At 45.6% G+C, this 19,110-nt stretch overlaps 1 protein-coding gene across 11 annotated transcripts in view; it reads right to left on the bottom strand.

Annotated features, from left to right (window-relative positions):
• Nucleotides 1–1,461: 1,461 nt before the first annotated feature.
• Nucleotides 1,462–19,110, bottom strand: part of LOC102724877 (uncharacterized) — a 53,476-nt gene continuing 35,827 nt past the window's right edge. For 3 of the 11 annotated variants that reach the window (XR_001741077.3, XR_001741080.3, XM_011513356.4), the window contains 2 exons: nucleotides 15,955–16,081; nucleotides 15,099–15,179 (listed from right to left, as the gene is read on the bottom strand). Coding sequence is in view for 3 of the 11 variants with exons in the window: in XM_011513356.4 (XP_011511658.1) it covers nucleotides 15,132–15,179; nucleotides 15,955–16,081 (175 nt within the window). In the remaining 8 variants the exon portion in view is untranslated. Of the gene's footprint in view, nucleotides 2,114–14,039; nucleotides 14,108–14,438; nucleotides 14,645–14,894; nucleotides 15,180–15,482; nucleotides 16,082–19,110 lie in introns of those variants that run through there. The other 8 variants (XR_001741079.3, XR_002959663.2, XM_011513352.4 and 5 more) reach the window with 5 other exon arrangements.

The following is a 19,110-nucleotide window of genomic DNA, read 5'->3' as shown; positions in this document are numbered from 1 at the left end:
GAGCCAAGATCGTGCCACTGCACTCCAGCCTAGATGACAGAGCTAGACCCTGTCTCAAAAAAAAAATTCCCCTTCCTTCCCACATCCTTGATCTCTATTGCTTTTCTGATAAAGAAGCTATGAAACACCTCGTGGTATTAGGCGAATACTTTTCACAGAACCGTCACTCTCAAATATTTGGAGAATAAATCCATAAATGAACTCAGACTTAAGAACAGGTTTTATTGGATTCAAGGAACCCTCAGAGGGTGAGCCTATTCTTCTAAATTCTCTCTGGCTGCTGAATCAAAGGGGGTGGGTTTACTTTGACCACTCCTGGTGACCACCTCTGGGTAGCCGGGATACCTCTCCAGACAGCTCTGTTCTGTGCAGTCAGGTGAATTTAGAGGAGTCTGTGGCTGTCTGTGTTTTCCCAGGCCTATCTTTATTGATGGTTATTAAAGACACACCACCACATGGCAATATGCAAGTACAAAGCAATTCCCAGGGTAAGGTACGTGGGAAGAGGCAAGATACTGAGCTCCCAAACAATTCTACTGTAATCGCAGTCTGCCATATCTATGTATAGTTAATAAGTAAGATTTAAGCAGGCAGGTTCCACTGCTGGGAAGCAGATGGAAGGGGAAAAAAGGCCAGTAGGCAGATCACTGGTCCTTCTGGAAGACTGGAAAAGAAAGTGTGGAGGATGCCTGGGACAGGTGAGTCCAGTGAGCAGTCGCCGGGGTAGTGTACAAGCCCAGCCAAAGGTCCTGAGGTAGGGCCGCTGCTCACCTCTTTTCCCACCTCACACCTCTTTTCATACGAGCTCCCTGTGGAAGATTCCGTATAACTAAGAAATAAATAGCAATTGTGCCCAGACACCCTGGGTTAAATAAGTGTAAACACAGCACACAGAAACACCTGTTTTGACAGAGCACCTCAACACACCTGTTGTTTTACAATGCTGAGTGATATCGGTAAAGGGGTCTATAAAGCGGAGGTGAAATGCCCTCCTAGATGTAAATAGTGACTTGCTCTGTGAACTTCAAGTGTTTTACAGCTGAGATTTGACTGGCCTGCTGATTATTTCGGTTAGGAATGCTGAACATATATTTACATAGATATTTGGAGAAACTGGATAGCAGGGTGGTGAAAAGGCCAACTCCGGAGCCAGACTGCCTGAGTTCATGTTCCACTTGCTTGCATTCTAGCTGCGTGACATAACAATTCTGTACCTTGATTTACCTACCTGTTCAATGGGGAGGTATTCATTGTACCTACCTTATAGGATTGTTATAAGGACCAATATATGTAATGTGCTTAGTACAGTGCCTGGCATTTTGTAAATACAATGTAAGTTCTTAGCTACCTTTATTATTACTATATAATAAACATCTCTGATATGTAAGATAGGTACTCTCATTCATCTAATGAAAATTCACAAGGTGCTAATTTTTTCAAAGAAATGGATGGCAACCACTCTGGTAAATTGGTTCATGAGTATATTGACAAACCAAAAGCTTCAGCCAGTTTCTTATGAATCACAGGTTCTAAGGCTGGGAGAGACCTTAAGAAATGATCTGACTTCTTCTTTTTCAGGGAAAAGGGTCCCCACCACCCAAGCACTGTGATTTCGGCTTTGTGTGCAGGCAGATGCAGAGCTTGTTGTGGTCCTGCCTTGAAAAATTGAAATGAGCCTCAGGTTCACAGAAAGACGAGATCTGAATGGAGGCAAAAGCATCAGGCGTCAATATGGGCCTGGCGTGCAGGATGCGCGGGTGGTCCTCCCTCCCTCACGGAGACAGGAGGGCATGGGAAGGGCTGCAGAGGGAGGGGGAAATCAAAAGCATAAACCTGGGCAGATCCTCCCTGGACACCCATCTCACTTGTAGGAGATAAGATTGGTGGGAAAGATGAACACCCAAGACCCTCCCTGCTCCAGTTCTGTGGAGGTGACCATATCATTTAGGGTTCAAACTGGAACACTTTTGAGAGTGGAAGATAATGCTAGTAACACTGATGCTGGGACAACTGGCATAGGCTGGGATACATGACCATCCCGGTTCTGCGGGCCTCCGACTGTATGTGCTAGATTCACGTGTCCATTCAGTCGTGGTGTGAGCAGAGATGCTTCCTGAGGGACAGGGAGAAGAAATATTATTGAAAAATCATTCATGTTTTAGCACCTCCATATCTGTGAGGGGTGATACCATTGATCTACCATCCTTAGAGGGAGGAACCCCCATTTTTGAGGCTAGAGGACCTCCCTTAGTGTGTATAGGGGCAGGGAGAAGGAGAGGGAGGTCCCGTGACGCCTGTGCTTACAGTGTATTTGACATGACTTGGTTTCTTCTTCTTCCGTAGAGCAGATGTGCTCTGGGCTTGCCCACCTGTCAGTTTGCACCCAGGTGTGGCCGCGGCATAGAAATTCTACAATGGACTCTTGCTTCTACCAGCCATGGTTGAGAATGTTCATTTTTTGATGGTGTGTGCTTATGGAAAAAGTAACTACTACAGTTTGAAGTCCAGACCATAGTTTAATGGCTGAAGGAAGTCTCCTGAACGAAGGAGCACTTTCCCACGTGAAATATTTGCCCTTTTAGCCTTGAATTTAACTAAGTTTTTAATGGTTAAAAAAATGCTTTTTTTCTGAATAGGTCAAAATCAAGGTTTGTACTTTGTTAATTTCCTTCAAACAAACAAACAAGAGAAGAAAAATGGCTCCCTTGCCTGAGTGCTCATATATATGCCTATTTAATGATTAATAATACCTTGTAGGTTATTGTTTGATGTGGCCTCTATTGGTTTGAACAGGAGAATACTGATTCACTCTTAAGGCATTTATGAATCACAAGTGTTTACCCTGAGACAATAAACGAAAGGGAGAGATAAAAATAATACCCAAATATGCAGAGTTCTTTGAGTAAAACCTGGAGATAACGTGGGACCTCAGTCTTTGATATCCTGAGTGGGGGCCACTGCTTTCTCTCACAGAATAAAGATTGTGTAGAATGACCAAGACGGGCTTTTGAGTTTTGTAGATTTTTCCTTTCACTTGTTGGTAGGTTTGAGGCAGTTTTTTTACCCTGGTTTCCATGTCACGTACATTGGTTTTCCCTCTCCCTGGTTTTGAGGTAACTCCATGCCGTTCATTTGCAAGGAAGAACCTTTCCAGGTCTGCAAAGAGCGCCCTTCTCTAGAGTTTCACTATTTTCCCCTTATTCCAGAGGAGGCTCCAGAAGTAACCCAGATGAGAAGAGAAAGGCCGGCCTCCGAGGTGCTGGTGGGGCTGGAGAGCAGGAGAGCAGGAGGGATTCAAGAGATTAAGAGAACCGACAAGTCTTGGTGACTGGATTGGACCATGATGGAGAAAGAGGGGTCCAGAGACGACACTGAGTGGGTTGTGGTGGCTCGTGCCTGTGGTCCCAGCACTTTGGGAGGCCACGGCGGGAGGATGGCTTGAGCCCAGGAGTTTGAGAGCAGCCTGGACAACATAGGGAAACTCCATCTCTACAAAAAAAATGAAGAATTAGCAGGGTGTGGTGGTGCCCAGCTGTGGTCCCAGCTGGTGGTGCTCAGCTGTGGTCCCGAGAGGCTGAGGTGGGAGGATCACTTGTTCTTAGGAGGTCAAGGCTGCAGTGAGCTGTGATTGTGCCACTGCACTCCAGCCTGGGCGACAGAGTGAGACCTTTTTTTTTTAAAAAAAAAAAAAAAAAAAGGAAAGGACACCAGGTTTGTTACTTGAGCAACTAACTGGCAGACCCTTCTTCCAAATTCCAAGTTTAATAATGATATCTCCTAGACTGATTTTCCCTCCTCTCTGCTGAGAAGTATAAAGTTCTGTGAAAGAAGATTGACAAATTTGCAGTTACCTCTGATGATTTTTTTTCAAAATGTTTTGCTTTGAGGTAATTTTAGATCTACAGAGAAGTTGCAAAAATAGTAGAGTGAACTCTCTTATACCCTCTAACCCGCTTCCCCTTATGTCAGTCTTACACAACCGTGGAATAGTCATCAAAATTAAGAGAATCATCTTGGTACAATACTATAAATGGCAGACTTGATTTGGATTTTACCATTTTTTCCTAGTCAAGTCTTTTTTTCTGTTGTAGGATTCCATCTGGGATTCCACAGTGCATTTAGAAGTCACGTGTCCTTACTCTCCTGCACTTGCTGACGGTTTAGGGGACTAGTTAGTTATTTTGTAGCCTGCTCCTCCATTTGTGTTTGTTTGGTGTCTTCTCAGGATTGTGTCGAGGAGCTGCATTATTGGAAGGACATCACAGAGAGAATGTGCCCTTTCCAGGCGTCATGTCAGGGGTTCCATGATGCCACTTTATCTCATGGCTGATGTTAACCGTGATCACTTTGTTGAAGTGGTTTCTGCAAGGATGGTTCACTGTAAAGTTACAATTTTCCCTTTGTATTTCCTAAATATTTTTGTAGGGGGTGGAGGAGAGTACTTCAAGACTATGCAAATGGTCTATTTCTGCTTATACTTCTGTCTACTAAATTTAGAATCCATCAAAGGATCTTGCCTGTAGCAACTATTATTGTGGTGATCTAATGGGAATTTTTTCAAATTTCCCTCATTTCTTCAACACTTATTAATGGGAACTCTTCCAGAGGAAGAGTTTGCCTGACATTACATTCTGAGAAAGCAGAAAAAAAAAATCCGTATGCTTTTGGAGCCTACATTTTAGATGAGACAGATAAGCAAAATAAATAAATCGGTTGAATGCTATTTTAAAAGGTAATTGGTACTCTAGAGGGAGATTAAGTGGGGAAAGGGGAAGGGGAGTGCCGGGAGGGTGCAGGTTTAAATTGCATGCTCAGGAAAGGCCTTAGAGAGATGACTTTGACTTTGAGCTTGCTGGGGGAAGCTTTCTAGAGTGAGGGAACAGCAGGTGCAGAGGCTCTGAGGCAGGACCACCTGCTCTAGGAACAGCCAGGAGGCCAGAGTGACTGGGGCAAAGTGAGCAAGGGGAAGAGGAGGGAGATGGAGCTGAGAGTGAGAGTGATGGGGCCCGATGATGCAGGCTGGTGAGAAGGAGGGCATTCTAAGGATCTAGCTGTTGCTCTCGGGGAGGCGGGAGCCATTGCAAAGTTTTGAGCAAAGCAGTTACATGACATGCTCCATTGTTTTATTTATATTTATTTATTCATTCATTTATTTTTGAGATGGAGTCTTGCTCTGTTGCCCAGGTTGGAGTGCAGTGGCACAATCTCGGCTCACTGCAACCTCTGCTTCCCCGGTTCAAGCGATTCTCCTGCCTCAGCCTCCCGAGTAGCTGGGACTACAGGCATGTGCCACCACGCCTGGTTAATTTTTTGTATTTTAGTAGAGACGGGGCTTCATCATGTTAGCCAGGATGGTCTCAATTTCCTGACCTCATAATCTGCCCATCCCAGTCTCCCAAAGTGCTGGGATTACAGGTGTGAGCCACCGTGCCTGGCTGACATGCTTCATCTTTGTAAAGGATCAGTTTGGCTGCTCTGTGTAGGCAAGGATAGAGGTAAACTGTAACCTTAATCCAGGTAGGAAGTGAAGCTGGCTTGGAACAGAATGGTAGGAAAGAGGTAGTTGGATTTTGGACGTATTGTGGGGGTAGAACTAACACAGCAAGTTTGGGCAGCACTCGCTGGCCACATGGATGTAAACCGTGTGACTCCCCCATGGGAGCCTTCTGTAATCTGGATCCACTTTTGTTGTCTCTATGCTGCACCTCATACTTGTCTCTGTCCCAGGACCAACCCTCTACCAAGGCCAAGCCACTACCAACATTTGCTCGTACAGTCTCCCAGCCCTCAGTGTCCTCAGCCAATCAAGATCCTTCCCGCCCTTCCAGGCAACCACCACCCCAACACCCACTAGCCCTCTGAACACCTGCTGTCTAGGTCATGGACAGCAACTAGGCTCTGCTTCACGTGTGCAGCCCCTGGAGGAAGGTACAACCTCAAATGCCGCTGCAGCCTCAGAGGCCCTTAAACACAAGAACCAGCACTGAGTACATCACGGGCTCAGTGGTTGGCTTGTTGGTATACGGCATATGCTAAGAATGAGACACTGTATTATGTTTCCTCTTACTCATGCAAGTACATGTTGCATTGTACTCCACATGGATTCATGTTGTTTTTTTTTTTTTTTTGAGACAGGGTCTCACTCTGTCATCCAGGCTGGAGTGCAGTGGTGCCTTCTTGGCTCACTGCAACCTCCACCTCCCAGATTCAAGTGATTCTCCTGCCTTAGCCTCCTGAGCAGCTGGGACTACAGGTGCGTGCCACCACGCTGGCTAATTTTTGTATTTTTAGTACAGATGGGGTTTCACCATGTTGGCCAGGCTGGTCTTGAACTCCTGACCTCAAGTGATCTGCCCACCTCCACCTCCCAAAGTGCTGGGATTATAGGCGTGAGCTATCGCACCCGTATTTCTTTTTATATAAAAATTATGTCTCCGCCAGGCACGGTGGCTCACGTCTGTAATCCCAGCACTTTGGGAGGCTGAGGTGGGCAGATCACAAGGTCAGAGGTACGAGACCAGCCTGACCAACATGGTGAAACCCCATCTCTACTAAAAATACAAAAATTAGCTGGGCGTGGTGGCGGGCACCTGCAATCCCAGCTACTCAGGAGGCTGAGGCAGGAGAATCATTTGAACCCCAGGAGAAGGTTGCAGTGAGCCGAGATCAGGCCATTGCACTCCAGCCTGGGCGACAGAGTGAGATTCCATCTCAAAAAAAAAAAAAAAAAAAAAAAGATGTCTTTGCCTCTCCCTCCGCCCTTCAAGTAAAAGTGAAATTTCAGATTTCTCCCTGTTGGGCCAGTCTGTATCCCTGAAGGGGCCTGTGTCCCCCAGTCTGAGAAGGGAGATGAGGGATGCAGGAGAGGCAGGCATCATCTGAAGGCTCATTTGCTGCTGATGGATTTGTCTCCTTATCTATTGAATGATTGAACTTCAAAATATGTTTAAAAATGTCAACCCGTACAAAAGGGTAAATCCTGAAAAGTAACTCTTCCATCTGTGGCCCCTGTCCCTCAAACCCTGCAGTGGCCATTCTTGCCTATCCCTTATATACCCATCCATGCTAATGGATTACTGGCTAGTAGTAGATAGGAACTACCCATGGAAGGTAAGCTGCAACGCTGTGAAAACCAGCTCCCAGCACTGCACTTCCCAGGGCTAAAGCAGCCCCCGTTGCAGAATGGCCAGCTACAGCGTGGTCAACCTGCCATTTGATTGTTGTCCTTGGCTCACACCACACAGGGGTGAATTTGCAAGGACTCCACACTTGAGTGCAATTGGAGCATTTAGTGCCACCCTCCTTGGCTCTAGATCTGTGCCCTCACCAGGAGATTTGTCCTCATTGAGACTTCCCAGGTTAGCTCTTGTCTCATCTCTCCCTTAAAGTCAGCCAACCAGAGGGAGGAGCACAGCCAAAAGCTCCATCAGGAAGAAAGGCAGGTGGGAGAGGAGGGTGGAGGAGCCTGCCTCTGAGTCTGTTACAGCAGTGCCGGAGATTACAGGGAGACTTCAGCATGGCGGGGGGACCTTATTCCTCCCCACTCCGCCTCGCACCTGACAGGCCTAGAAGCTCACCTGAGAGGCAGTACTCTTCGTCTACCTTTCCCGTGGGAAATCACCACAGCCAACATAACCCCTGAACTCTGCTGGGCCACTGCCAGCAACTTCCAAGCCTTTCCTCTGCCGATTACAGTGACATGATGTCGTTTTTATTGAGGCAAGATTAGATTTTTTTAAAGGGTTTTCAAAAGTGTCGTTCACATGATCTCTAGTACTTTTCCTGTTGCTTGAAGACCACAGAGCTGCCAATTTCAATTTGCTCCAGCTTTTATCACTGGAAGAAGCTTAAAAGAAGAAAGAAAGGGGGAGAAAGACTGGATGAAAATATTCCTCTTGGCCCTAGCAGTTAGTGCGAGGGTGGTGGGGGACACGCACGTCGCCCACTTCCTTCGTATGACTGCTGTAACAAGATGTCGGGAGCCTGAGCTCCTGGAGTCGCACCTGGCCTCCTGACAGTGCATGAAGATCACTAGACAGAGGGATCATAGCTGGAGAGGGAACACACAACCTTGAGTCATTCACAGGAGCTGGAGAGGGTTAGAGAGGATGCTGGTATCCTGGGAGATGGGTAAAATAAACTCATGGAAAAGTTTTCCTTCCTTCTGATTCCATTTTACTAATTCTCCTTCTTGGAGGCAAGGTTTGCCTTTATGCATTCATTCACTCATTTATTCATTCAATGTATTTATTGAGCACCTATTGTGTGCATTACCCTGCAGGATGAATAAGGCAAAGTCCGTACCATTCACCATTTTATTATTTATTTATTTGTTTATTTTTTTTGAGATGGAGTCTCGATCTGTCACCCAGGCTGGAGTGCAGGGGTGTGATCTCAACTCACTGCAACCTCCGCCTCCCGCGTTCACTCCATTCTCCTGCCTCAGCTTCCTGAGTAGCTAGGACTATGGGCGCCCACCACAATGCCCAGCTAATTTTTTTTATTTTTGGTAGAGATGGGGTTTCACCATGTTGGCCAGGATGGTCTCGATCTCCTGACCTCGTGATCCGCCCGCCTTGGCCTCCCAAAGTGCTGGGATTACAGGCGTGAGCCATCACACCCGGCCCACCATTTTAAAAGATAAACTGGAGAATGCCTATTTGCATGAATCATACTTTTTCAGGTGTCACTTTAGCCCTCGAAATGGGTCTTATGAAGGAAAATCATGAAAAACCTCAGAGCTAATCACATTGCTTTGATATGAAATCAGAGCAGGAGCATCCGAGGGTAGGGGACTCGCTGAGGACGCATCTCCCACTCCATGGGAGTCCTGCAGTAGAAACAATATTTACACATCACGAGCGTTTAGCAGCCACTTCCAGACTCCGAACAGCCTGATAGTCACAGCAGCCTGTGAAGTAGAGAGGGGCAAAATATGCCATCCCCCTGCACTGCACCTGGCACGTTGTAGGTGCCCAATGAGTGTTGAATGAATGCTGCTTCAATTTACAGCTCTGAGACAGGCTCAAGAGTACTTAAGAGATTGGTCCCAAGTTATCTGCTAGTAAGTAGCAGAGGCCAGGCTGGAATGCAGATGTCCTGAATCCACACATCGAGGCCAATCGTGACTCCTAGAGGCACTACTCTCTGGCAATTTCTCCAAACTACTGCCGTTCCATTGATTGGCAGGAGAGTGACTCCGGAGTCAACCGCGTTGAAGGTTGCAATGAGTCTCTGGAGAGTAGTTTTAGTGGACGGAAGTCAGACTGACCTCTGATGCGAACAGAGCATTTCATGACGGCACCCCTGCCTCCTTGGAAGGTCCTCCCAGGGTTTAGTTGGTTGGACTAAAAAACCTGGGCTTCAGGGTTGGTTCTTTGCATATGGATTTCTAAACTGTCCCAGACTGAGTTGGAAATGTCCTTGGGGGCTTGTTTGCTTTTTGAAGTCTATGCACCACCCCCCAACCCCAACTCATTCTGTCTCTGTCAATTACGTGGATCAGGAAAAGACGGGTTCAGAGCAAACTTGTGAAAAAACAACTCCCCATCTGTGTCTTGTGAACCTTGATGTTTCTCCTCCAGAGAGGGATGGAAGGGCCATTGTGGCAGTGGGGTAACTCCCAGGGAGTTCGGGCCTCACCAGAGTTACAGAGCAAGGAAGTGGCAGACTAGAACCAAAATCTGGAAGCCTAATTGTGGTTGCAGTATCCCTGGACTGGAAAAGACCCAGAAAGTCATTGAGTCCCTTCCGCTGACCCTGGGGATGAGAATCACAGCACATACCCGGGACCTAGGGCTGGATGTGAATGATGTTCCTTGCCAGGAAATGCAGTGTGGGGACACACAGGAGGCTGCAGGAACAGAGCCAGTCTGGTTGAAAAGGAAGACCAGAGAGCATGAAACTCCATCTTCTTGTTCGCTTTACCCCAAGAACATGAGCGTGTACAGAAGGCTTTGAACTAGAAATCAGGGAAGGACCCAGCTTCCAGTCCTGCCTCCCATAGACTTATTGTGTGTGTCCCTGGAGAAGGTTTTCACTGCTGCCCCTCTGGGCCTCAGTTTCTCCATAGGTAGTCTAATGGCTTTTAAACCATGCCTCAAGGCCTTTCATCCCCAGAGAATGAGGGATTAGGGCCTGGGGTGATGCTGAGCAGGAGGGGCTCTTGTAAGCCTTCTCAGCCTTCTACCACAACAATTTGGCTCTTACCTGCTCATATATTGCATGTCCTCAATTATTTTTGCTAGTAGTAGTACTATTAGTATTAGTATTATTAGTTCTACTGCTATTAATACAAATAATTGATGAATGAATGGTTTGTTCCCCTCTTTGGAAAGAATCACTGATGTATCAGTAGCTTTGCTGATGTAAAAGGGCCTTCCCAGTGCTGACAGGAACTAGGTGGAGGCCGTGAGCTCTGTGTTTTTCTTTTACGAGTTGGTCTGATTATAACTGTTGGGGGTTGCATCCTGTCCCCTAAAAAGATATTCAGTCTTCACCTCCAGATTCTCAGCATTGACGTTATTTGGAAATAGGGCCATAGCAGATGTAATTAATAAAGATGAGGTCATAATGGAATAGGGTGGGTCCTTAATCCAGTATGAGTGGTGTCATAAAAATAGATGAGACACAGAGACAGAAACACTCAAGGTGAGAACTCCACGTGACGATGGAGGCAGAAGTTGGAGTGATATAGCTGCTGGCCGAAGAATGCCGTGAATTGCTGGCAACCACCAGAGACTAGGAAGAGGCAAGGAAGGAGTTTCCCTTACAGGGTTCGGAGGAAGCATGGTCCTGCTGACTCCTTGATTTTAGACTGCTGGCCTCCAGAACTGTGACACAATACATTAATACATTTTTGGTCTTTTTTTTTTTTTTTTTTTAGACCGAGTCTCGCTCTGTCGCCCAGGCTGGAGTGCAATGCCTCGATCTCAGCTCACTGCAACCTCCGCCTGCCGGCTTCAAGCAATTCTCCTGCCTTAGCCCCCTAAGTGGCTGGGATTACTGGCACCCACCACTACACCCGGCTAATTTTTGTATTTTTAGTAAAGACGAGTTTTCTCTATGCTGGCCAGGTTGTTCTCGAACTCTCGACCTGAGATGATCCACCCACCTCGGCCTCCCAAAGTGCTGGGATTACAGGCCTGAGCCACCGTGCCTGGCCCATTCTTGGTCTTTTAAGCCACCAAATTTACGGTACTTTGTTATGGCAGCCCCCCCGGGAAACTAATAGATCACTCCACCTCCAATATTATGCTTAAAAACAAAATCTAAAGGTTGGGTGCAGTGCCTCACACCTGTAATCCCAGCACTTTGGGAGGCCGAGGTGAGCGGATTGCTTGAGCTCAGGAGTTGGAGATCAGCATGAGCAACACGGCGAAACCCTGTCTCTATGAAAAATACAAAAAATTAGCCAGGTGTACCGGTGCACACTTACAGTCCCGGCTACTTGGGGGGCTGAGGCAGGAGGATCGCTTGAGCCTGGGAGGTCGAGGCTGCAGTGAGCTGAGATGGCACCACTGCACTCCAGCCTGGATGACAAGGTGAGACTCTGTTTCTAAATAAATAAATACGTAAAAAAAAAAAAAAAAAAACCTACAACCCCCGTTTCCTTTAACTTCTATGAAATGTTCAAAGGAAAGTAGGCTTGGCTTGAACTTACATTTTTGAAATGTTAACTACAGTCTTTCATTAAAATATTTCATGTTCTTAAAGCTGTGAAATCTTTGCACATGGGGTCCTATGTGTGGTATATATTGGGTAGTAAAATAAACAAGTTAATAAATAATCTCCCTCCTCAACAAACAGAAAAAAAGTTCCCCCAATTCCCTTCTTTCCCAGTCTTTTGAAAAGTAAATTTGCTGTGAACTGGCTGCTTCATTCATCTGAGTTTGACCACGTGTTCAGTCTGAGGGTGTTTCACTTTCCTCTCTAGGAGCAGGGCATGATTGGATTAAATGGGATGCAGAATCATTTTTCACCTCTGCAGAAATGATCCCACTTGCCCCTGAATATCTTTCTTGCATTTTCTTTCATCTACCCATCTTCCTAGAGACAGGTTTCCAGTTCTGGCTTCTCCTCCGGTGCCCTTAATCAAACCCACAGTTTGGCAGACGAAGCACAGCCCCTCCTTCTCCATCCCCATGGAGATCCAGGAATTTGTAGGAGTCGCCTCATTTCTGGTTATTCAATAACCGGCAGGGCATCGAATGTCAGGGCTAAGAAAACAAACCTGCCTACCTGTTGGACTGAATGACCTCATAGCCTGAGCTGTTCTCATGGTGTTGGCTTGCACTGTCTGTCAGCGACTCTTTCATCACAAGCCCGACTGACATCATACTGTTCTAAACACCTAACCTGATCATTGTCACTGTGCTTACAACACAGCCAAAGACAGCAGTTAAGGCTCTGATTAAGCCTGGGGGCAGTCTTGCATGAGGAAGTAAGGGGTCTTTTTTTTTTTTTTTTTTCCCAGCCTTAAGAATGGAGGATGTGAATGGGGAAGGAATGAAGGGGCTTATTGTGTTTTAATTCCAAATTTGTCCTTAACCTCCCTACCTGGATTTCCAGCCCAAGGCTTCACTCAGTACTCGGTGGAGAAGAGCAAACCATCTGCCCACATCTGACCTGGCTGACCAGGGCTTTCCTGCAGGGGAGGGAAGATTCTAGCACCATTCCACTTGTGGATGTCTCTGATTGGAAAATGATCTTCTCTGAGCTTTAGTGAATAACCTGAGGGCCTCCATTAGATTGTATTTGTGGGCCACTTTTCATCACTGGATTCCCAGGCAATGACTGTGAAAGATTCCCACAAAACAATAGAATGGATGCAAAATAATCCTATTATTTATTTATTTATTCATTTTTCAGACAGAGTTTTGCTCTTGTTGCCCAGGCTGGAGTGCAGTGGTGTGATCTCAGCTCACTGCAACCTCCGCCTTGTGGGTCCAAGCAATTCTCCTGCCTCAGCCTCCCAAGTAGCTGGGATTACAGGCGCCGGCCACCAAGCCTGCCAAATTTTTGTATTTTAAGTAGAGACAGGGTTTCACCATGTTGGCAAGGCTGGTCTTGAACTCCTGACTTCAGGTGATCCACCTGCCTCAGCCTCCCAAAGTGCTGGGATTACAGGCGTGAGCCACCGCGCCAGGCCTGGAAAATGATCTTGAAAGCAAGTCATAGCTTCCTCAAGTTAGAGTTGGAAGGATTAGGGAGATACTAAAAGGGAAGTTAATTATTCTATGTGATATAAATTCATTCATTTGCTCACTCATTCATTCACCTATTCATTCATGAAATCAATATTTTCTGAATGCCTGCCGTAGGCCATGTACTGTGTGATGCACTCAGGAAACAAAGACAAAGTCACAGGTCAGTGACATTCATGTGACTTGTATCCAGGAAGAAGCCTGTCCAGATGGCCGAGAGGGCCATGAGGAAGAAGAAAGCTCAAGGAGTGGCTGGGGAAGCAGGGAGGAGAGTTTTGGCCTAAGACTAGAATATTGATTTTCAAAGCATAGGCCCTCGGCACTGGACATCACAGTGATCGGGGAAGTATCTCAGTCAGCTTTGGCTGCCTTAATAAAATACCTTCACAGCAGGAATTGATCGTCTCCCAATTCTGGAGGCTGAATGCCCAAGAGCAAGGTGCTAGCAGGGTCCGTGTCTGTTTGGTGAGGGCGCTTCCTGGCTTGCAGATAGCTGTCTTCTGGCTGTGTCTTGTTATGGCCTTTCCTGGGTACTTGAGAGTAGAGAGAGCTCTCTGGCATGTCTTCTTATGAGGGCACTAATCCCATCCATCATGGGGCTCCCTTCCTCACGACCTCATCTAAACATAATGACCTCCCAAAGGCCCCATCTTCAAATGCCATCACATTAGGGGTGAGGGCTTCAATATATGAATTTTGGGGTGAAACAATTCAGTCCATAGCAGGGAGTTGGTTAAAAGGCAGATTCCAAACTTCCACCCTAAACCTACTGAATCCGTGTTTCTGGAACAGGTCCTGGAAATCTCCGTGTTGATTGTTAGGTATGCTAATGTTGGAGAATGTCCTCTTTAGGATGATTTAGGCTGTTACATAGAAAAGGATGTTTCCAGGGAGAGCTGGAGCTGGTGAATGCACACATGAACGAGGAACGTTGGCCTTGGGGCGAGGCCCAGCGTTCCGTATATTTGTGAATTTATTTATAACTGAGGCTTTGGCTGACGTAGAGCTGAGCAAAGGATAGGCTCGGATGTAGTTTTGCAAAATGTCAAGATAGAGCCATAATCCTACCACTGCAATTTGTCTCAAGAATTTAAGGACTCTCTCTTTTCCCTTCCCTTCCCTTCCGTACCCTTCCCTCCCCTTCCCTTCCCTCCCCTTCCCTTCCCTTCCGTTCCCTTCCCTTCCCTTCCCTTCCCTTCCCCTTCCCTTCCCTTCCTTCCTTGCTTTCTTGCTTTCTGATTTTACCTGCTTTTTCTAAGGAAGTCAGCTTGTATAAGGAGATTTAAAGACAGGCATGCAATTCTGAGGGATCACTGGGGTGAATTATTTGTTACCTGTTGTTGCTCATTTACCTGATCGGGGAGATTAACATTCTCCTTTGAGGTTTCTTTTCCTTTTAGGAACTGCTGTGGCTCTTGCCAAAGTCTCCAGGTAACCTTCTGCTGGGGAGAGAAAACCTCCACCAGTCTCCAACTATACTTGGCTCTCAATAAGAAAGCAAGAGGGCCAGGCACAGTGGCTCACACCTAGCTCTTTGGGAGGCCGAGGTAGGAGGATTGCTTGAAGCTAGGAGTTTGAGACCAATCTGAGCAACAAAATGAGATCTCTGTCTCTCTCAATAAATAAATAAATAAATAAATAAATAAATAAATAAATAAATATAAATTAACTAGTCGTGGTGGTACACACCTGTAGTTGCAGCTATTCCAGAGGTTGTGATGAGAGGATCACTTAAGTCCAGGATGTCGAGGCTGCAGTGAGCCATAATCCTACCACTGCACTCCAGCCTGGGCTGTTTTGCTCAGTGACTAATTACAGTTGGAGGAAATCAATCCTGAAAATTGGGGTGCCTTTGCCATCCACTTATCGCTTCAACATAAAATTTTTGAGTGCCTTCCATGGCATGGTGTGAGTTGCTGTGGTTAGTTAGGTGAATAAGACAGACACAGCCCCTGTCTTCATGACATTTATAATCTACAGGTGAAAAGAAACAAGTAAACGATGGATTGCAATGAAGCGTGGTGAGAGTTATGTTAATTCTCCTGTGGTTCCTTCTTCATGCCTTCAGAGACTGAACCTAGCTCAGGGCTGGATGGCTCATTGGTACTCAAAATATCCTTGTCCTGCATTCCTTTTTTGTTTGTTTGCAAACATTTGCTGAACCCCTATGAAATGTCATGTTGAATAGATATGTCCTGGGCTCTGCTTATAACCTTAGAGGCAGATTTTTTAAATTGAACAACATGCAAAACCTTGTTGCAGAGAGCTCAGAGTCAAGTGAGGAAGTCAGACAAATAAACAAATGGCATCAGGGCTATGCTAATGACTCAGATAATACAGCAGTGGTCTGTACCAGGCCATAAGGGAATGTGGGAGTGGAGAAAGGGGTACAGGGGGGATGATTTCTGCTGGAGAAAGGAGCAAGGGCCAAGTGGCCCAGCAGGGATCCCTGAAGGTAGAGAGTGCAGGCTGGACTTGAAGCATATTAAGAGGGTTTGAATTCTTTCAGCACTTCCCAGCCAATAGGTTAAATGATAACTAATTCAATCATTCATTGAATTGTTCAGTAGCTATATATTGAGTACCTATGATTTCCTTAGTGAGCCAGCTATACAAATCATTGGATTAACCACTCAACCCAGCAACTAGCTAGCTGGCCCCCCTGACAGGTGACAAGCTATGTAATCAAGCATTTGGGGAGTAAATACAAGAAGTGAAAAAGTCTGTCTATTGCCCCCAGAGAGGCTACCTGTGGACTGCAATGGCCAAAAGTGTCCAGTCGCTTCCAAAGCTTCTCATTTAGAAAAAGGCAGGTTCTGCGTACTTCTCTTAATTTTTTAACAGAATGACAGCTCCGTTGTCTTCCAGGCTGGTATCTAAAGTATGAAGAGATATATATATATCATATATATGATATATAAGATATATGATATATATAATTATAGTTTATTTTATTTTCAATTCTAAATAATGTATGCTTACTGGAAAAAAATAGACAAATACAGATAAGGTGAAAGAAGATAACTACTCTCATTATTTGCCCTTTTTCTAACTTTTCTTTATGATTTTACATGATTATGATCACTGTATGTACAATATATACATTGTATATAACTTATTACATGCTTTTGTCATATAACATTACAGCAACATAAATTCCTCATAAGTTTCATTTCAAATGACCGCATAATTTTTCATCATTTATGTACCATGATTTTCCTAATGTATTTAACAATCTAAACTTTTAACATTTTATTTTTCTTAGGATAAATTTACAGAATTGGAATTTCTAGTTAAGGAGAAGGGCATAATTAAGACTCTCAATAAATATTGTAAAATTACTTTCCAAAGAGTCACAAGAGTTTTTATTCTCATGGTTATGGTCGTGTACAAGGTTAATTTTAAATTGTCTGATATTTCTTTCCTGCCCCGAACATGATTGAGACAATGAATTAAGCCTTTTCCTTATATCTGATTGGGTCAGCAGAAAGCAAGAGGTTTGAATGGTATTAATCCAGATCTCTCACACTGAATAACAAATACCTTGCCCTTAGTTTTTATTACACACTATTACAAAAGCTGGCCATCTTGATGTCTTCTGCTAAGCCATCCTTGAGGACCCCATTCACTATGTTACTCAACATCCCTTCTATCAGGCCATAGTCTTCTTTCTCTTTCATGTTAGCCATATTTCCACTTTTTGTCAGTGATATTTGGCTATCAAGAAGCTCATAGTTCACACTGGTGCTTGCTGGATTGTCTAAAGCCATCTCTCCTTCCCTTTAGGGGTGACTGAGAATAGGCTCAAGACCATTGGCCAAAGGCACTTCAGAGCATCAGCTGGATTGATGGTGTATTAGTCTGTTCTCACACTGCTATGAAGAGATGTCTGAGACTGGGTCATTTATAAAGAAAAGAGGGGCCGGGCATGGTGGCTCATGCCTGTAATCCCAGCACTTTGGGAGGTCAAGTCGGGTCGATCACCTGAGGTCAGGAGTTCGAGACCAGCCTGGCCAACATGGCGAAACCCTGTCTCTACTAAAAATACAAAAATTAGCCGGGCATGGTGGTGGGCACCTGGAATCCCAGCTACTCGGGAGGCTGAGGCAGGAGAATCACTTGAACCTTGGAGGCGGAGGTTGCAGTGAGCTGAGATTTTGCCACTGCACTGCAGCCTGGGCGACAGAGCGAGACTCCGTCTCAAAAAAAAAAAAAAAAAAAAAAAAAAATTAAAAATAGAAATAAAGAAAAGAGGTTTAATTTATTCACAGTTCTGCATGGCTGAGAGACCTCAGGAAACTCAAAATCATGGTGGAAGGCATCTTTCCACAGGGCGGCAGGAGGGAGAATGAGTGCCAGGTGAAGGGGGAAGCCCCTTATAAAATCATAAGCTCTCATGAGGACTCAGTCACTGTCATGAGAACAGCATGGTGGAAACTGCCCCCATGACTCAATTACCTCCCACCAGGTCCTCCCATGACATGTGGGGATTATGGAAACTACAATTCAAGATGAGATTTTGGTGGGGACACAGCCAAACCATATCAGATGGCAAGTAAGCTTCCAAAATGTCAGGGCTCTCTTCTAACCACTGTATTGGGAGAGGGGGTGGGATCTCATACTTCCTCCCTGAGCTAGGCTTTGGGATCGGCATGTTCTGCCATGCAGACTGTGAGTCCACTTTTTCAAGCTACTACAAGGGAAAGATTATGGGCCTGTTTCTAGAAAACCAGTGGAGTAGAAGCAGCAGGAGAATAGTGACCATCCTGTTTGGTAGTGGTGGTGGGTGGCAGAGAGGGGCAATTCCCCGAGCAGGCGGCTTATCACAGAAGTCAAGAGAGGCTGGAAAGCAGGTGTCTGCTCTGCTCTGAGGAGCCCAAAGGAGCAAAAGGCAGTGACTGTCTCCTGGTGCCCCTTACTCCGTGAACACCTACGGGTCACCCATTAGTTATTCCTTCTCCCCAAAGGGAGAGAGAGGGGAAAGGCTCACTCCAACCCTCCTACTTCATATTCTGGGGAGAGCAAGTCTCCCCTGTATAGAAATGTGAAGAAGAGGAAATGAAGATTATCCTCCAAGGATACTTAGCTGCAGTAGCCACTTAACCAGTCCCTTAAAAGGGGACATAATTGTCCTTTTTTTCCCTGCAACAGACTGAATTGTGCCCCTCCCTAAATTCATATGTTGAAACCCGAACCCTGAATGTGACAGTATTTAGAGATGAGGCCTTTGGGAGGTAATTAGGTTTAGATGAATTCCTAAGGGTGGTGCCTTCATGATGGGATTAGCACCTTTATAAGAAGAAAGAAGAGAAATTAGACATCTTGCCCACACACACACTCTCTCTCTCTGCCATGTGAGGCCATAACTAGAAGTCAAGTCGGCTGTCTACAAGCCAGGGAGAAAGCCCTTACCAGAAGCCCACCATGCTGGCACCCTGATCTTGGCCTTCCAGCCTCCAGAACTGTGAGAAAATCCATTTCTGTTGTTTAAGCCACCTAGTCTATGGTGTTTTGGAATGGCAGCTCTAGCAAGCTAATACACCTTAGCAAAAAAAATGACATTTCTGATTTTTCACTTTTTTATCTTGACCTTTGCTATTATAGATGTACTTACTTTTTCATTGTAAGCAACCTGAATGTTTATATCATCTGTAGGTAAATAATCATAAACTTGGAGTTCTAAGGCGGACATGCGTAAGATACAGTGAGCAAATCAAGATGCTTTATGGGCATGACTTTAAAAGCCAGGATCAGTGAGAACTGGAGGGATCAGGTACGGCTTTCTACGGGTGGCAGGGCTGGAGTTGGGTTTGAGTGGGTGTAAGATATGGAGAAGGGCAAGGGAAAGTGAGTCGTGAGATCAAAGACAATGCTGGAGTTGGGAATAATCCATGGCTAGAGATGA

Source organism: Homo sapiens, chromosome 3, assembly GCF_000001405.40.
Source record: "Homo sapiens chromosome 3, GRCh38.p14 Primary Assembly".
Lineage (NCBI taxonomy): Eukaryota > Metazoa > Chordata > Mammalia > Primates > Hominidae > Homo > Homo sapiens.
Note: the sequence above shows the minus strand (reverse complement) of the source record. Positions and strands in the feature narration are given on the sequence as shown.